The 14,302-nt window shown below is 37.1% G+C and overlaps 1 protein-coding gene across 4 annotated transcripts in view, besides 1 other annotated feature; it reads left to right on the top strand.

Moving 5' to 3' along the window:
- The window catches only part of DSCAM (DS cell adhesion molecule), an 836,160-nt gene that overhangs the window by 496,394 nt on the left and 325,464 nt on the right, over window positions 1-14,302 (top strand). For all 4 annotated transcript variants that reach the window (NR_073202.3, NM_001271534.3, NM_001389.5 and 1 more), the window contains 3 exons: window positions 2,820-3,095; window positions 11,350-11,646; window positions 12,389-12,664. Coding sequence is in view for 3 of the 4 variants with exons in the window: in NM_001271534.3 (NP_001258463.1) it covers window positions 2,820-3,095; window positions 11,350-11,646; window positions 12,389-12,664 (849 nt within the window). In the remaining variant the exon portion in view is untranslated. The remainder of the gene's footprint in view (window positions 1-2,819; window positions 3,096-11,349; window positions 11,647-12,388; window positions 12,665-14,302) is intronic.
- Window positions 11,590-12,789: an enhancer, noted in NCBI's record as "BRD4-independent group 4 enhancer chr21:41709903-41711102 (GRCh37/hg19 assembly coordinates)". NCBI's record gives its function as "activates an origin of replication core promoter dependent on BRD2, P300/CBP, MED14 and CDK7 cofactors, and independent of BRD4, by STARR-seq in HCT116 cells {active_cell/tissue: HCT116}" and the evidence as "EXISTENCE:reporter gene assay evidence [ECO:0000049][PMID:35650434]".

Below are 14,302 nucleotides of genomic sequence, written 5' to 3'. Positions count from 1 at the left end.
GCCCCTGCTCCCTGCCTTAATTCATGTGGTTCCCAATCTCTGTGATTCCCTCTTTCCATTCTGACTGATCTCAGTTCTATGCACCCTTGATATCTGTGGATTTCCTGCTCTTCCCATCCACCCTCCTCCACATGTGCTATGTCTCTAATGGCCCCTCCATCACTCTGGTTGGTTATTACAGCCATTTATTGCCTTTGTCTTATCAACCTAGAAGACTGAGCTCCTTGAAAACAAAGTGTGGTGAGATGAAAAGTTAGGAACAACTGGGGTAAAAAAAAGCTTTTTTTTCACCCACTTTTTGATGGGGTTGTTTGTTTTTTTCCTTGTAAATTTGTTTAAGTTCCTTGTAGACTCTGGATATTAGACCTTAGTCAGATGGATAGATTGCAAAAATTTTCTCCCATTCTGTAGGTTGCCTGTTCATTCTGATAGTTTCTTTTGCTGAGTAAGTAGAAGCTTATTAGTTTAATTAGATCCCATTTGTCAATTTTGGCTTTTGTTGCAATTGCTTTTGGTGTTTTAGTCATGAAGTCTTTGTCCATGCATATGTCCTGAATGGTATTGACTAGGTTTTCTTCTAGCGTTTCTATGGTTTTAGGTTTTACATTTAAGTCTTTAATCCATCTTGAGTTAATTTTCGTATAAGGTGTAAACAAACCTGTAGGTTCAGCGCATGTATCCCAGAACTTAAAGTGAAATAAATAATAATAATAATAATAGGAGAAGATTACCAGAATGGATTAAAAAGCAAATCTTAGCCATCTGCCATCTACAAGAGATGTTTGTTAATTTAAAAGATATATTTATATGTCTTCTGGCCTCCATTTGCTTCTGCTAAACAATCAGAGGTCATTCAGATCTTTGTTTCTCTGTATGTCATTTGCCATTTTTGCTGTCTGCTTTAAAGAATTTCTCTTTATTTTTCGTTTTCCATAATTTGTAATATGACTAGACAGGATTTTCATCAGATTTTCTCTGCTCAGCACTTTCTGACCTTTAAAAATCTGTAACTGTAGGTCTTTCACCAAAAATTTTGTTTTGTTTTGTTTTGATTTGCCATTTACCTGTTGATTGGATTTGGCTGAGTTATTTAAGCGCTCTCAATAACTATTTTCTGTTTTGTAAAATAGAGATAACACAAAAATTACAGGATTAGGAGAAGACTGACTTAAATGATGTATGAAAGATAGTCGATAATTTTATAGCACAAGCTAGCTGCACCACAAATATTATTCCATTTTTCTTGCCTGTGAGTTTAACCTCATCCTTGGCATATGACAGATGCTCAGTAAATGTTTTCTACATTGGATTAAGGTTGTTGAATTGAAAACATAGCAAGGCGAGGATGAGAGTTTCTTCCCTGTCTAAATCACTCAGCCCCATTTTAAAGAAAAACTCTGTTTCGTGGTCACAAATTCTAATACCAACCTGTTTTTGTTTTTTTTTTCCTCACAATTGTGTGTTATTGGCCCTGGGTAAACCACATATGTCATACATGTGTGTGAGAATGGCCCAGGGCAAACCCACCAGTGCCACCTTGGGACAAGGCAAATTAGGATTTATATGATCAATACTTAGGTCACTATTGGTAGCCAGCATGTTGCATTTCTTTTTTTTTTTTTTTTTTTGAGATGGAGTCTCACTCTGTCCCCCAAGCTAGAGTGCAGTGGCGCCATCTCAGCTCACTGCAAGCTCCTCTTCCCAGGTTCACACCATTCTCCTCCCTCAGCCTCCCAAGTACATGGGACTACAGGAGCCCGCCACCACGCCCGGCTAATTGTATTTTTAGTAGAGATGGGGTTTCACTGTGTTAGCCAGGATGGTCTCCATCTCCTGACCTCGTGATCCTCCCACTTTGGCCTCACAAAGTGCTGGGATTACAGGTGTGAGCCACCATGCCTGGCCTGTATCTCTTATTGTCAGTGGATTTATATCAACATCCTCACAGAGACTCCTGAGAAGGCAGTTTGACCAACATTATTGCATTTGTTGCAAAGAGAAATAAAGCCAGAAATAAAAAATAGCGAAGAGGATGTTCCCAAACAAAATGCTCCTCTGTGAAATAATGTGGCTGATACGAACTGCATGCAGTATGATAGCAAAAATGTGGCTGATAGGAACTGTGTGGAGTATGATTGCAATAATGTGGTTGATAGGAGCTGTGTGGAGTTTGATTGCAATAATGTGGCTGATAAGAACTGTTAGGAGTATGATTGCAATAATGTGGCTGATAGGAACTTTATGGGATATGACTGCAATAATGTGGCTGATAGGAACTGTGTGGGTATGATTGCAATAATGTGGCTGATAGGAACCGTATGGGGTATGATTGCAATAATGTGGCTGATAGGAACTCTCTAGGGTATGATTGCAATAATGTGGCTAATAGGAACTCTCTGGGGTATGATTGCAATAATGTGGCTGATACAAAATGTATGGGGTATGATTGCAATAATGTGGCTGATAGGAACTCTCTGGGGTATGATTGCAATAATGTGGCTGATAGGAACCGTATGGGGTATGATTGCAATAATGTGGCTGATAGGAACTGTGTGGGGTACGATTGCAATAATGTGGCTGATAGGAACTGTGTGGAGTATGATTGCAATAATGTGGCTGATGGGAACTGTGTGGAGTATGATTGCAATAATGTGGCTGATGGGAACTGTGTGGAGTATGATTGCAATAATGTGGCTGATGGGAACTGTGTGGAGTATGATTGCGTGATGCACTTGCTTTGTTGAAAGTCCAGCCTGTTGTCGAAATGCTATCTAGTGATGTTTTTATCTTTTTTCTCTCTCTCTTACTAAAACCTCCAGAGCCACTGAAAGCCACCATCAGTCCCAGGAAGGTTAAAAGCAGCGTGGGTAGCCAAGTTTCCTTGTCCTGCAGCGTGACAGGAACTGAGGACCAGGAACTCTCCTGGTACCGCAATGGTGAAATCCTCAACCCTGGAAAAAATGTGAGGATCACAGGGATCAACCACGAAAACCTTATAATGGATCACATGGTCAAAAGTGACGGGGGCGCATACCAGTGCTTTGTGCGCAAGGACAAGCTGTCCGCTCAAGACTATGTGCAGGTGGTCCTTGAAGGTCAGTGGGCCTCGTTTCAGGGTATGGCTGAAAAAGAACCCAAACCCAGAGCACTCAGAAAAGAAGAAGACAGGGTGAAGCAGTGCTGATCGCTCAGTTCTAGGCTCTCTGTCTCACCAGCTAGTACTCTACCCTAATTTTTCAAGCTAAATCAGGCAAATGGGAGAGAAAGTTCTGACGAAAATAAAATTGTTTCATATTAGAAGTAATGTAAAGTAACATAAATGTTGCCCACTTGTGCATTAGAAGTTATCTGCCAGGGTTTAAATCTTAGAAGAAACTTGACACTTAACAGTTTTGTTGATTATTCATCTCTAGACCAGGGTCTTTCAAGAATGCCTTGCTTGGGGAATTTTTTTTTTTTTTTTTTTGAGATGGAGTTTCACACTTGCTGCCCAGGCTGGAGTGCAGTGGCACAGTCTCAGCTCATCACAACCTCTGCCTCCCGGGTTCAAGCAATTCTCCTGCCTCAGCCTCCCGAGTAGCTGGGATTACAGGCATGCACCACCACACCTGGCTAATTTTGTATTTTTAGTAGAGATGGGGTTTCTCCATGTTGGTCAGGCTGGTCTCCAATTTCTGACCAGGTGATCTGCCCGCCTCGGCCCCCCAAAGTGCTGGGATTACAGGCATCTTGGGAAACTTTTTTATGTGTTATAGGATCTTTGGCAGCATCTCTGGCCCCTTTCCACTAGATGTATGCTAGGAGCACCTTCCTCCAAGTTGTTACAACCAAAAATGTCTCCAGACATTGCCAGGTGTTTGCTGGGTGGGGTGGGGGCAATAGCCTCCAGTGGAGAAGTACAACTTCAGATTGAAAATGCAGAGCAAAATGTCAGTACAGTGGTTGGTAGAATGAAAATATGGCATCTGTTTGGTGCAGTTGTCCCTAGTTCCATCCAAATGTTCTCAGATTTAAGTAAATGAAATTTGTGAGGAATTATTTTGTGGTATAATAACAGGTTTTGGATATGTGATACGATTTGCTTTTTTTTAACTGGTTACTGCATACTAAATCTTAAAGCTTATCAGTCAGCCAGAGAAAGAAGCTATCACAGGCAACATATATTTATCACTACCTGATTGAACTAGCTTCTATCTATGTATTTGTGTGTCTTGTTGGAAATTATGTCCATATATAATTTAAAATTCATCTGATATCAATTGATTAAAATAATAAAATGATTTTGATATAGCCTAAAGGGAGTACAAAGAAAACACACTAATATGTGAAAGTAAGTTTAAATATATCTTGATTATAAGACCATATTTCTGTCATTCTTTTTTAACCTTAGCTAATTTTTTAAGAAGTAGCAGGTTTAGCAATGAGATTCCTATTTTGATTCAATCGTTTCATTGCAGACAGTGAGATTTTTAAAGCAGAGGTGAAATTAGCTGAAGGCATGGTATTCATATTAAATGCCTGACACTGTGTTCCGTATAATAATTAAGTGCAGAAAGTAATCAATTTGTGCAGAACCAGTTTGCTAATGATGATGCACTCTAGTCCTTACATAGTCACTATTTTTAGATTCTTTGTAGAAAAAGGAGAAATTACCTGTCTAGGCCCAGTTACCCCGGCAACCATTTGGTGCAACTAAGAAAACCTAAAGACCATATTGATGATCCATAACGATGTCAGAAGAGTTCAGGTTATCAGAGTGACAGCAAGAAAGATTTCAAAGACACTCAGGTCTCCCTGGGAAAATAATGTCTGCTTTCATCTCCAAAAGAGCCTGTCACTTGAACTAAAAAGGGGGCCGAGGCGCACCGCCAGCACACTCGCAGATTTATTTGTCGCATGTCAGCTTCCATTCAGGACAAGAAGCTTCACTTTTTTTTTTCTCTCTTCTGAGAGATGACAGTGCTAATGTAGCAAAGAAAGCAGAAATGGAATTACAAATACATATCTAGTACCTGCTTTAAAAGAGTGTCTGGCTAATTTCCTCTGGAAAACAAAAACACTCCCATTATTCTCACTGAAATAGCGATGGATTAAAGTAAAATTATAAAAATTTGCAATACTGTGAACTAGGACTGAGGATAGATACAATGGAGAATCTGAGAATATTTCCTATGAGGCTATAAAATGGAATTTAATAATTATAAGTTCAGGATAAAACCATAATACCTGAAAAATGGAATGATTTTAAAAAAGAATAATAAAAGTTTCCAGTTCTGGGAATGGTAAAATAGCATATATCAGCCTAACTCCCAAGATGATAAAAACAAGAAACTTTGGGAAAAGCAAAAGTATATATAGACATTTGAGAGACACCAAAATCAAGTTGGGGAGTGTCCTCTTCCACTGAGGACACATCTGAACTCCAAAAATGGGGAGTGAGAATACAAATGTGCAATAAAAATGAGACATACAAAAAACAGGACTCTGCACCCAAAGGACAAAAGACAAAGCAAACGATAGAAACAAATCATGAGAGGACCCAGATGTTAGAACTGGCAAACAAGGACTTTACAGATGCTATTTAAAATATGTTCAATAACTTACAGGAAAATATGGACTGAAAGAGTGAACGTATGGGAAAGACCAACAGAGAAATTGAAACTGTAGAAAACAGTCTGTAGAAATGAAAAAAAATCACCATATTTGTTTAATACAAGATTAGAGAAGGAAGAAGAAAGTATCAGTGAACTTGAAGATAAATCTTAGAAAATTATTCAATCTGAAGCATGGAGAGAAAGAAGACTGCAAAGAAAATGATTAGAGCTTCAGTGACAAGTAGGACATCATCAGATAACGTGACACACACATATGACTAGAGGCCCAGAAAAATAGGAGATACGGAATGCAGAAGAAAAAAGTATTCAGAGATAATGACCTTAGTTTTATCGACTTTGGTATAAAAGTAAGGTTGCAGATCTAAGAAACTCAGCAAACTCCAAAAATAAACACAAAGAAAATTCTATGTCAGTACATCAGAGTTAAGCTGCTGAAAACCGAAGATAAAGAGAAAAACTTAAAAATCTGAGGGAGGAAAAATATTACATAATGAGGACATCAATAACAAATGGTAGATGATTCATCGGATATTTTGGAGGACAGGAGACAATGGAGCAACATCTTTAAAATGTTGAAAAGAAAACGAAAAACAAAGACACAGCCCTGCCAACGCAGACTTCTGTAGCAAAAAACCCAACAACAACAGGCTTTAAAAATTAAGGAAAAATAAAGATATTTTCAGTAATAAAGAGGTGAAAGAATATAATGTCAGCAGCCCTGCACATTAATAAATGATAAATGAAGTCATGCCGGATATAGAGAATGGACATTTATATCTACAGGATATAGATAACATGGAACAGAAATGGAACATAAAATGGAGACATATCTATAAGAACAAATACCATGAGAAATGGTAAATATATTAGTAAATATTTAGCAAAATTGTGTTTTCTTTTTTAATTTCTTTAAACAATTGATGATTATAACATTATAAAATTACCACACTTGGCCATGTGCTGTCGCTCACGCCTGTAATCCCAGCATTTTAGGAAGCCGAGACAGGCGGCTCACTCGAGGTCAGGAGTTTGAGACCAGCCTGGCCAACATGGCAAAATCCTGTCTCTGCTAAAAATACAAAAACTAGCCAGGTGTGGTGGCATGTGCCTGTAATCCCAGCTACAGGCAGAGGCAGGAGAACAGCTTGAACCCAGGAGGTGGAGGTTGCAGTGAGCCGAGATCCTGCTACTGCACTCCAGCCTGGGTGACAGAGTGAGACTCCATCTCTAAAAATAAAATAAAATAAAATAAATAAAATGAAATAAAATAATAAAATAAAAAATAAAATAAAATGAAATAAAATAATAATAAATAAAATAAAGTAAAATAAAATAACACTTTATTATAGAGTAAATATAATAGATGTAATAACACAAAGGGCAGAATTATTTGTTGCAGGGTTCTTACATTTCACATAAAGTACTGCAATCTTAACTTTTAGCAGAGATAATTTAAAACATATACACACACATTGATATACATATAGATTGTGTGTGTGTGTGTGTAAATCAATTGGAGCTTATCTTATAATGCAAGATTGGAAGAACATTAAAAATCTAATCCGTGTAAGTCACTATGTTAATAGAATAAGGGAGCAAATCCAATTGATTATCTCAATATATACAGAAAAAATCATTTGATGAAACTTGCATCCATTCAGCATAAAGAATTTCTAGCAAACTGAGACTCTAGAGAGCTTCCTTGACCTAATGAGTGGCATCCTGAACAATCTACAGCTAAAATCATACTTCCTGGTTAAACACTAAATGTTTTTCATTTAAGATTGAGACCAAATCAAGGATGCCCACATCCACCACTTCCATTCAACATTATACTAGCAGCCCTAGTTAGGCTTGAGTAGAAATAAAATGGATGGAGTTTGGAAAGGAAAAATTTCAGCTGTCTTAATTACAGGCATTGTTGTTTACAAAGAATATGCCAAGAAAACAATAAAGCAATTTCTAAAAGAGAGTTTAAAAAGTCATTGGATATAAGAATGATACACAAAATGCAATTTTATTTCTATATACTCAGAACAAACAATTGGAAACTAATATTTTGAAACTTTCATTTACAATAACATAAAACATAAGATAGGAATATATTTTAAACAAACGTGAAAGATTTCAACATACAAAAATACAAAACTCTGCTAATATAAAATTGAAATAACCTAAAAAATTGAAAAGATATACCATATTCAAGGATTAGAAAACTAAATATTCCTAAGTTAACAATTCTCTCTAAAACGATTAATGTGATTTCAAGCAAAACTGAGGCATGGTGGCTTGTGCCTGTAATCCTAGCCCTTTGGGAGGCTGAGGCCCTTAGCCCAGGAGTTTGAGGCCAGCCTGGGAAACATGGCAAAACTTTGTCTCTACAAAAAAAAAAAAAAAAAAAAAAGGCGTGGTGTGCACCTGCAGTCCCAGCTACTTGGGAGATTGTGCCACACCAAGGACAACAGAGGGAGAGAGACACTGTCTCAAAAAAAAAAAAAAAATATATATATATATATATATATACACACACACACACACATATACACATACTATATGTACCTTTTCAACAAATTAACACTGAAACAACTCAATAAATGTATGGCAAAAAAATGAGTATTAATCCCTACATCACACTTCATATCCACACAAAATTAAGTTGCTATCCGTATAGAATTGAATATAAAGTATAAAGCAACACAGTCTCCAAAAGAAAACAGAATAATTCTTCATGATTTGCGAATAGGTGACGATTTCTTAGGACACAGAAAGCATTAAATGTCAACACAAATACATTATTAAGAAAAGAAAAAGGCAACCACAGACTGGGATAAAATATTTTATACACACACAAATATATGTGTCATATATATGTTGACAGATATTATATATAATCTCTATAGGAATCTTACAAATGTATCAGATCATTATAAGATATCTGACATAGATACTATATATATATTTCCTTGTATTTCAATTGTTGTATTCCACAACAAATCAAAAACAAAAAGGCAAACAGTCTAATATAACAATGGCCAAAGATTTGAGCAGACACCCACTAAAGGAAACACACGGATGGCCAATAGGCACATAAAACACGTGCCTTCCACGGTATTTCTGGGAAAAATATACAACCTGCGTTTAGTCATGAGGAAATATGAGACAAACCCAATTTCAGCAACTGACTACAAAATTACTCTTCAAAAATGTAAAAGTCAAGAAACACAAAAGAGGCTGAAGAATGTTCCAGATGAAAAGAGGCTGAAATGACATGAAACATAAATAATGGGTGATACGGACTGCTCTGGAAAAAAAACAGTGACGAGGGATATTAGCGGTCAATGGACAGAATTTTGCTGTGGACAGTGAGTTAGATAATAGTACTGTTCCAAAGTTACATCTTCTAATTATATTCTAAGTGTACTCTGATTATGATGATATATATGCACATATAAAGCGTGCATACTCTATTATTATGTTTCTTCTAAGCTCAAGCACAGGCAAAACCAGCACATCCTAAGAGGAATCAGAGCAGTGATCTCTGTTGGATGTGGATTTATTGAAAGGAGCACTTAAGGAATTTTGGTAATGGAAATGTTTTATATCTTGATCGTTTTTGTGGTTACTCTGGTGTGTATATATTTAGCAAAACTAAGCTGTACACTTAAGATCTGTATATTTCACTGTATGTAAAATTTACCTACAAAAAGAGAAGTATAACTGAAGAACATTTTTCTAAACACTTGAGTTTTCAGAGCTTAATGTAAAAACCAGTGAAAAGAAATCTACAGCTAAACACATTTTACAAAAACCATGGAATTATAAAGGACACGTGAAATAACTCCAGTACTCCTAAGTATTAATGACTGATCATGGACAATGAATAGCAATCATGATGACATCTAACTTCTCTGTAAAATTAAACACAGGATGTGATGAGGCAACGTCTGCAGTGCGTTAAAGACAAAAGCATCAATTTTTCATTTTAATATTTTAAAGTTGTCTTTTTCATCTCTGATAGTAAGAGACAAAATGCTTACAACCCAAGGACACTGCAATATGCTACTTATGAGCATAGCCTGGAGGAAACAAACTCCAGGGACTTCTCCAGCCACCTGAAACATGAGCTGGAATGAAGAAGTGAGATTCAGGAATTTGGAAAGGAGTAGGGGGTGGAGGGAAGAGCTGCAGCACAGCCCCATCACCATGAAGACCCTACATAACTGGCCTCCCTGACCAAGAACTAGGCCCCAAGGTTCTGGGGGAATGAGTGGCACTTTCCTCAAAGGTGTCTGGTACTATTAACCATTAACTGTCACCTTTCCCTGATGGAATTGCAAGCTATCCTAATTTTGCTTGCCTCCTTTCTTTTTGTTTATAATACTTTCCAATTTTCAACAAAAAAGATATTCAACAATGGAGATTCATTACTTTTATAATAAAATCAAAAACTAAAAAAAATCTACTCATTCTTATCTTTCATTATGGGACAACCCTTTAATTGAACACAAAAATTCTTTTAAAAAACAAAAGATGTCCCCTCCAGCAAGGTCTCTTACCAGACTCAGAAATCCTGTGGCATGTGATTGCAATTATGTCAAAATGACCCACTTATGCCTAGAAAAAATGTGTCACAGTGTTGATTTGTATGCCTGAGGCTGGCTGACCTATTGGTAACTTTTCTTCTGATTTTCATACATTTCCTTTAATATGCATGTATTTCTTTTTATAAATGGAAAAACATATATAAAAGAAACATGCATTTGTAACTATTACTATATAAGAGAAAAAACCATATGGATGATAGAAAAATAATGGAATATGAAAATTTGATCTATGTAAACATACTGAAAATTTCTATGGAGACTTCTCTAAGATTAAGATCCTAGTTTGCCTGCGATAGTTCTGGGTCATGCCTGTTCTCTTGGCATAATTATTAGTCCTTTCTGTTTCAGCCTCAAAAGTGTCCCAGGTTGGATGTTAAATTATATGGCCAGCCTACTTAAGATACTTTTAGAGAGATTTAAAACATGCTTAAGTACCCTACTTAAGATATCTTTAGAGGTTTTTAATACACGGCATTTAATACAAACTTTATTTAGCTTCTACCCATTCTCAGAGACTTCATGGAAGTTTGCATGCAATTACTATTTGTAATTAAAGTTATTAAAAGAGGATTTCTTATGAGAAAATGATGAAGATGAGGTCATCAATCTCTCAGTAGTTTCCTTTATTCCTGTAAAGAATTCCCTAGTGAGAAAACCCCAAATAACTTGAGGAAGTATTAGGTTGGTGCAAAAGTAATTGCTGTTTTTGCCATTACTTTTTGCAATCACTTTTGCACCAACCTAACAGATAAAGTGACTGTTTGTGGGAGTGAGCGGGTGTGGATTTTCCGTCTGTTTATAACTTTGTGTGAGGAAACACCAGTTTTAAATTAAGGACTTCTTAGGAGCTGTCATTGTTTAACCTGAACATCTGAGTTGTATTACCATTCCTCTTAAGTCAATCAGGAAATATAGAAACAGTTGATGAAAGCTTGCTAACACTGTGCTTACCTGTTTTGAAAACAGTGAACTCTTGTTCTGATTAACGTTTTGCTTTATCAGGAAAACCAGACCTTTTTGGTAATGTTTAACAACTACGACATTTACCCCCTAGACATGAAAGACATATACTTGGAAGTTGTTTAATTATTTGTATGTGCCACTTTCTTCCATAATTTGTTTTCCTGCAGATGGAACTCCCAAAATTATTTCTGCCTTTAGTGAAAAGGTGGTGAGTCCAGCAGAGCCGGTTTCCCTTATGTGCAACGTGAAGGGAACACCTTTGCCCACGATCACGTGGACCCTGGACGATGACCCGATTCTCAAGGGTGGCAGTCACCGCATCAGCCAGATGATCACGTCGGAGGGGAACGTGGTCAGCTACCTGAACATCTCCAGCTCCCAGGTCCGGGACGGGGGAGTCTACCGCTGCACTGCCAACAACTCGGCGGGAGTCGTCCTGTACCAGGCTCGAATAAACGTAAGAGGTGCTTGTCAAATCAGCTCCTCAAAAAAACACACATAACTCATTATAGTGGAGAAGAAGATTTCTGCATGCACCGAGCTGGGTCTTGGAATGCCAGAGCGGATTAACTGTTGCTTCCCATTTCCTACCCTCTCCTTCCTACTCAGGAATGGCACTGACTGGGTTAATGTTGGAAATGGCATTTTGGTTTCTGTAGTCAGCTTGTTCTTTTTTACTCTAGATCTGTTCACCTGATGTTTCCTTTCCTGGTTTATGCTCTGCATGCCCTTTCCCTTCTCCTTCTCTTCGGTTCTTCCACATTCATGGTAAACCTTCATGTACATGGTATTAAACTTACATTCATGCTGCAACGTGATGTAACCTCCATTGTCGTCCTAGATTTTACAGAGAGAGTTAAACAATTGATCAATTGCTGCCAGTGTGTTCACCAAAAGTGCGTGATTGTCCAGTATAGACTAGTTACTTTCTATTAATTAAATTGCCTTTTATCTTGTAATTTTTAATTCAAAACATTTTCATAGAAGTAGCAGATAAAGTGTTTCACAGTTATACATTTGAATTTAAGAAAAGGAAAGAAAAACCTTTGTTGTAGAAAATGCCACATGCAAAAATATTTGTTTAACTGAAAAAGATGTGCTTACATGAATATAATCTACATTTTTAACTCAAGGAAAAGTGTACCCATTTCCCTACATGAGATGTACCCTTAAATTATTTTCAAGAGTTTCTTTGTGTCTCTCCAGGGCCTGCAAGCATTCGACCAATGAAAAACATCACAGCAATAGCAGGACGGGACACATACATTCACTGTCGTGTGATTGGCTATCCGTATTACTCCATTAAATGGTACAAGAACTCTAACCTGCTTCCTTTCAACCACCGCCAAGTGGCATTTGAGAACAATGGAACTCTTAAACTTTCAGATGTGCAAAAGGAAGTGGACGAGGGGGAGTACACGTGCAACGTGTTGGTTCAACCACAACTCTCCACCAGCCAGAGCGTCCACGTGACCGTGAAAGGTAAGCCCTGTTCTCCTGGTTCCCACACAACTCATTCCATAGCCCGACTACTTCCCAGACCAATGATTTGAAGTCGGGTAATCCAAGATCTGCTTATTTAGAGCAGGATAATTGTACAGGCTGAAGAATGACAGGGAACATGAGATGTCCTCTTTACTACTGACTGAATCTTCACAGGAACTTTAGTTGATCTGATTTTCTCTCCAGGTGGAATTTTGGCTTGGTTTTCCAGAGGGCATGTGTTGTTAACAATACAACAGAAAAAAAAGGAGCACATCATTAGCTTCATTATCTAGTCATCTCTCAGATAATTTTTAAATAAATAACCTTCTTTTCCTAAAACCTCCTAAAAGCAAGGTCTCTTAGAACTTCACTGGAAGGGATTTTCTGTATTGGATGAGGATTTCAAACAAACGTCTTATCTTCTGTAGATGAGCAGGTCAAAGCAACAACATAGAAATTATATGTTTAAAGGATGCCACAGAACGTTTTCCTCATTAAATTATTCTTTGCATCATGACATGGACTGTCATGGAATCTACCTGTCAGGATGATCTTTAGAGATCCTGCAATTTGAATTGACTACAATCTCCTTACCAGAAAAAAACAATAAGGTGATCAGACTCATCCAAGGATACGCAGACTTTTAGTGGCAGAGCCTCAGAAAGACTCATTTCTTCTATTCTACAAGTCAGTTTCCTGAGCTGAATATGAAATAAAATTGTTTTAATTATGTAAGGAATCTACCTGAGGTGGGTCCTAGGAATAGAACTAATATGTTATAAAACTATTTCCGAAACCTGTGGGTGTTGCTTCTAGCCACATTGAGCTGCCTGTCTGAGGTGTCCAAGTTCTCTCTCCAGGAACCAATAAGTGGCTTTTAGTTGCCCTTGTTACAAAGTTGCATAGGTTTCCTGTGGTCTTCCCCAAGCTTCTTTTCCCACCAACCCTGTGAGTTTTACTTTTGTGAGAACGCATACAGACACACACACATGGAAATAATAATATGTGTATACTATTATTACGGGGCATATATATTGCATTACATTATATATTATAGAATATGTATTGTGCATTGTATATTAGATATGCCTGCACATAATTATAAATCGGTTTTTAATAACCATATGTCTTGAGAATTTCCTCAAATCACTAGATATTCTTGGTAAACCAGGCTGCATAAAGGTTCATTTGGTGGTTGTGTTTATTTATTTAATCCTCATTTACAGAACATCTGCTTCATGCCAGGCACTACTCTAGACACTGAGGAATACAACAATGAAAAAGGTCTGCAAGGTCCTTTCCTTCATTGACTCTCTTCTCAGTCAGGAGAGACAAACAATAAACAAATAAAACAAGTGAATAAACCAGAAAACACCTAATGGTACTCCATACTATGCAGAGAATTAAAACATGGCAGTATCTTAATGGTTCATTGCAATAGTCAGATGCCATATCAACACATTTTCTGTACTCTGTCATCTTAAAATTCATTGGTCTATCATACCCTTGGAAGGAATGTTTTACCCACACATGATTTTGTAACATAAAAAGTTGATCATTTGGAAATGATTGGTTCACTGTGTTACACAGATCTTCCAAATGTTGATACAATTTGTTATACAATATCAAAATATC

This window comes from Homo sapiens, chromosome 21, assembly GCF_000001405.40.
Source record: "Homo sapiens chromosome 21, GRCh38.p14 Primary Assembly".
Taxonomy (NCBI): Eukaryota; Metazoa; Chordata; class Mammalia; order Primates; family Hominidae; genus Homo; species Homo sapiens.
This window is presented reverse-complemented; position numbering and strand designations above follow the sequence as displayed.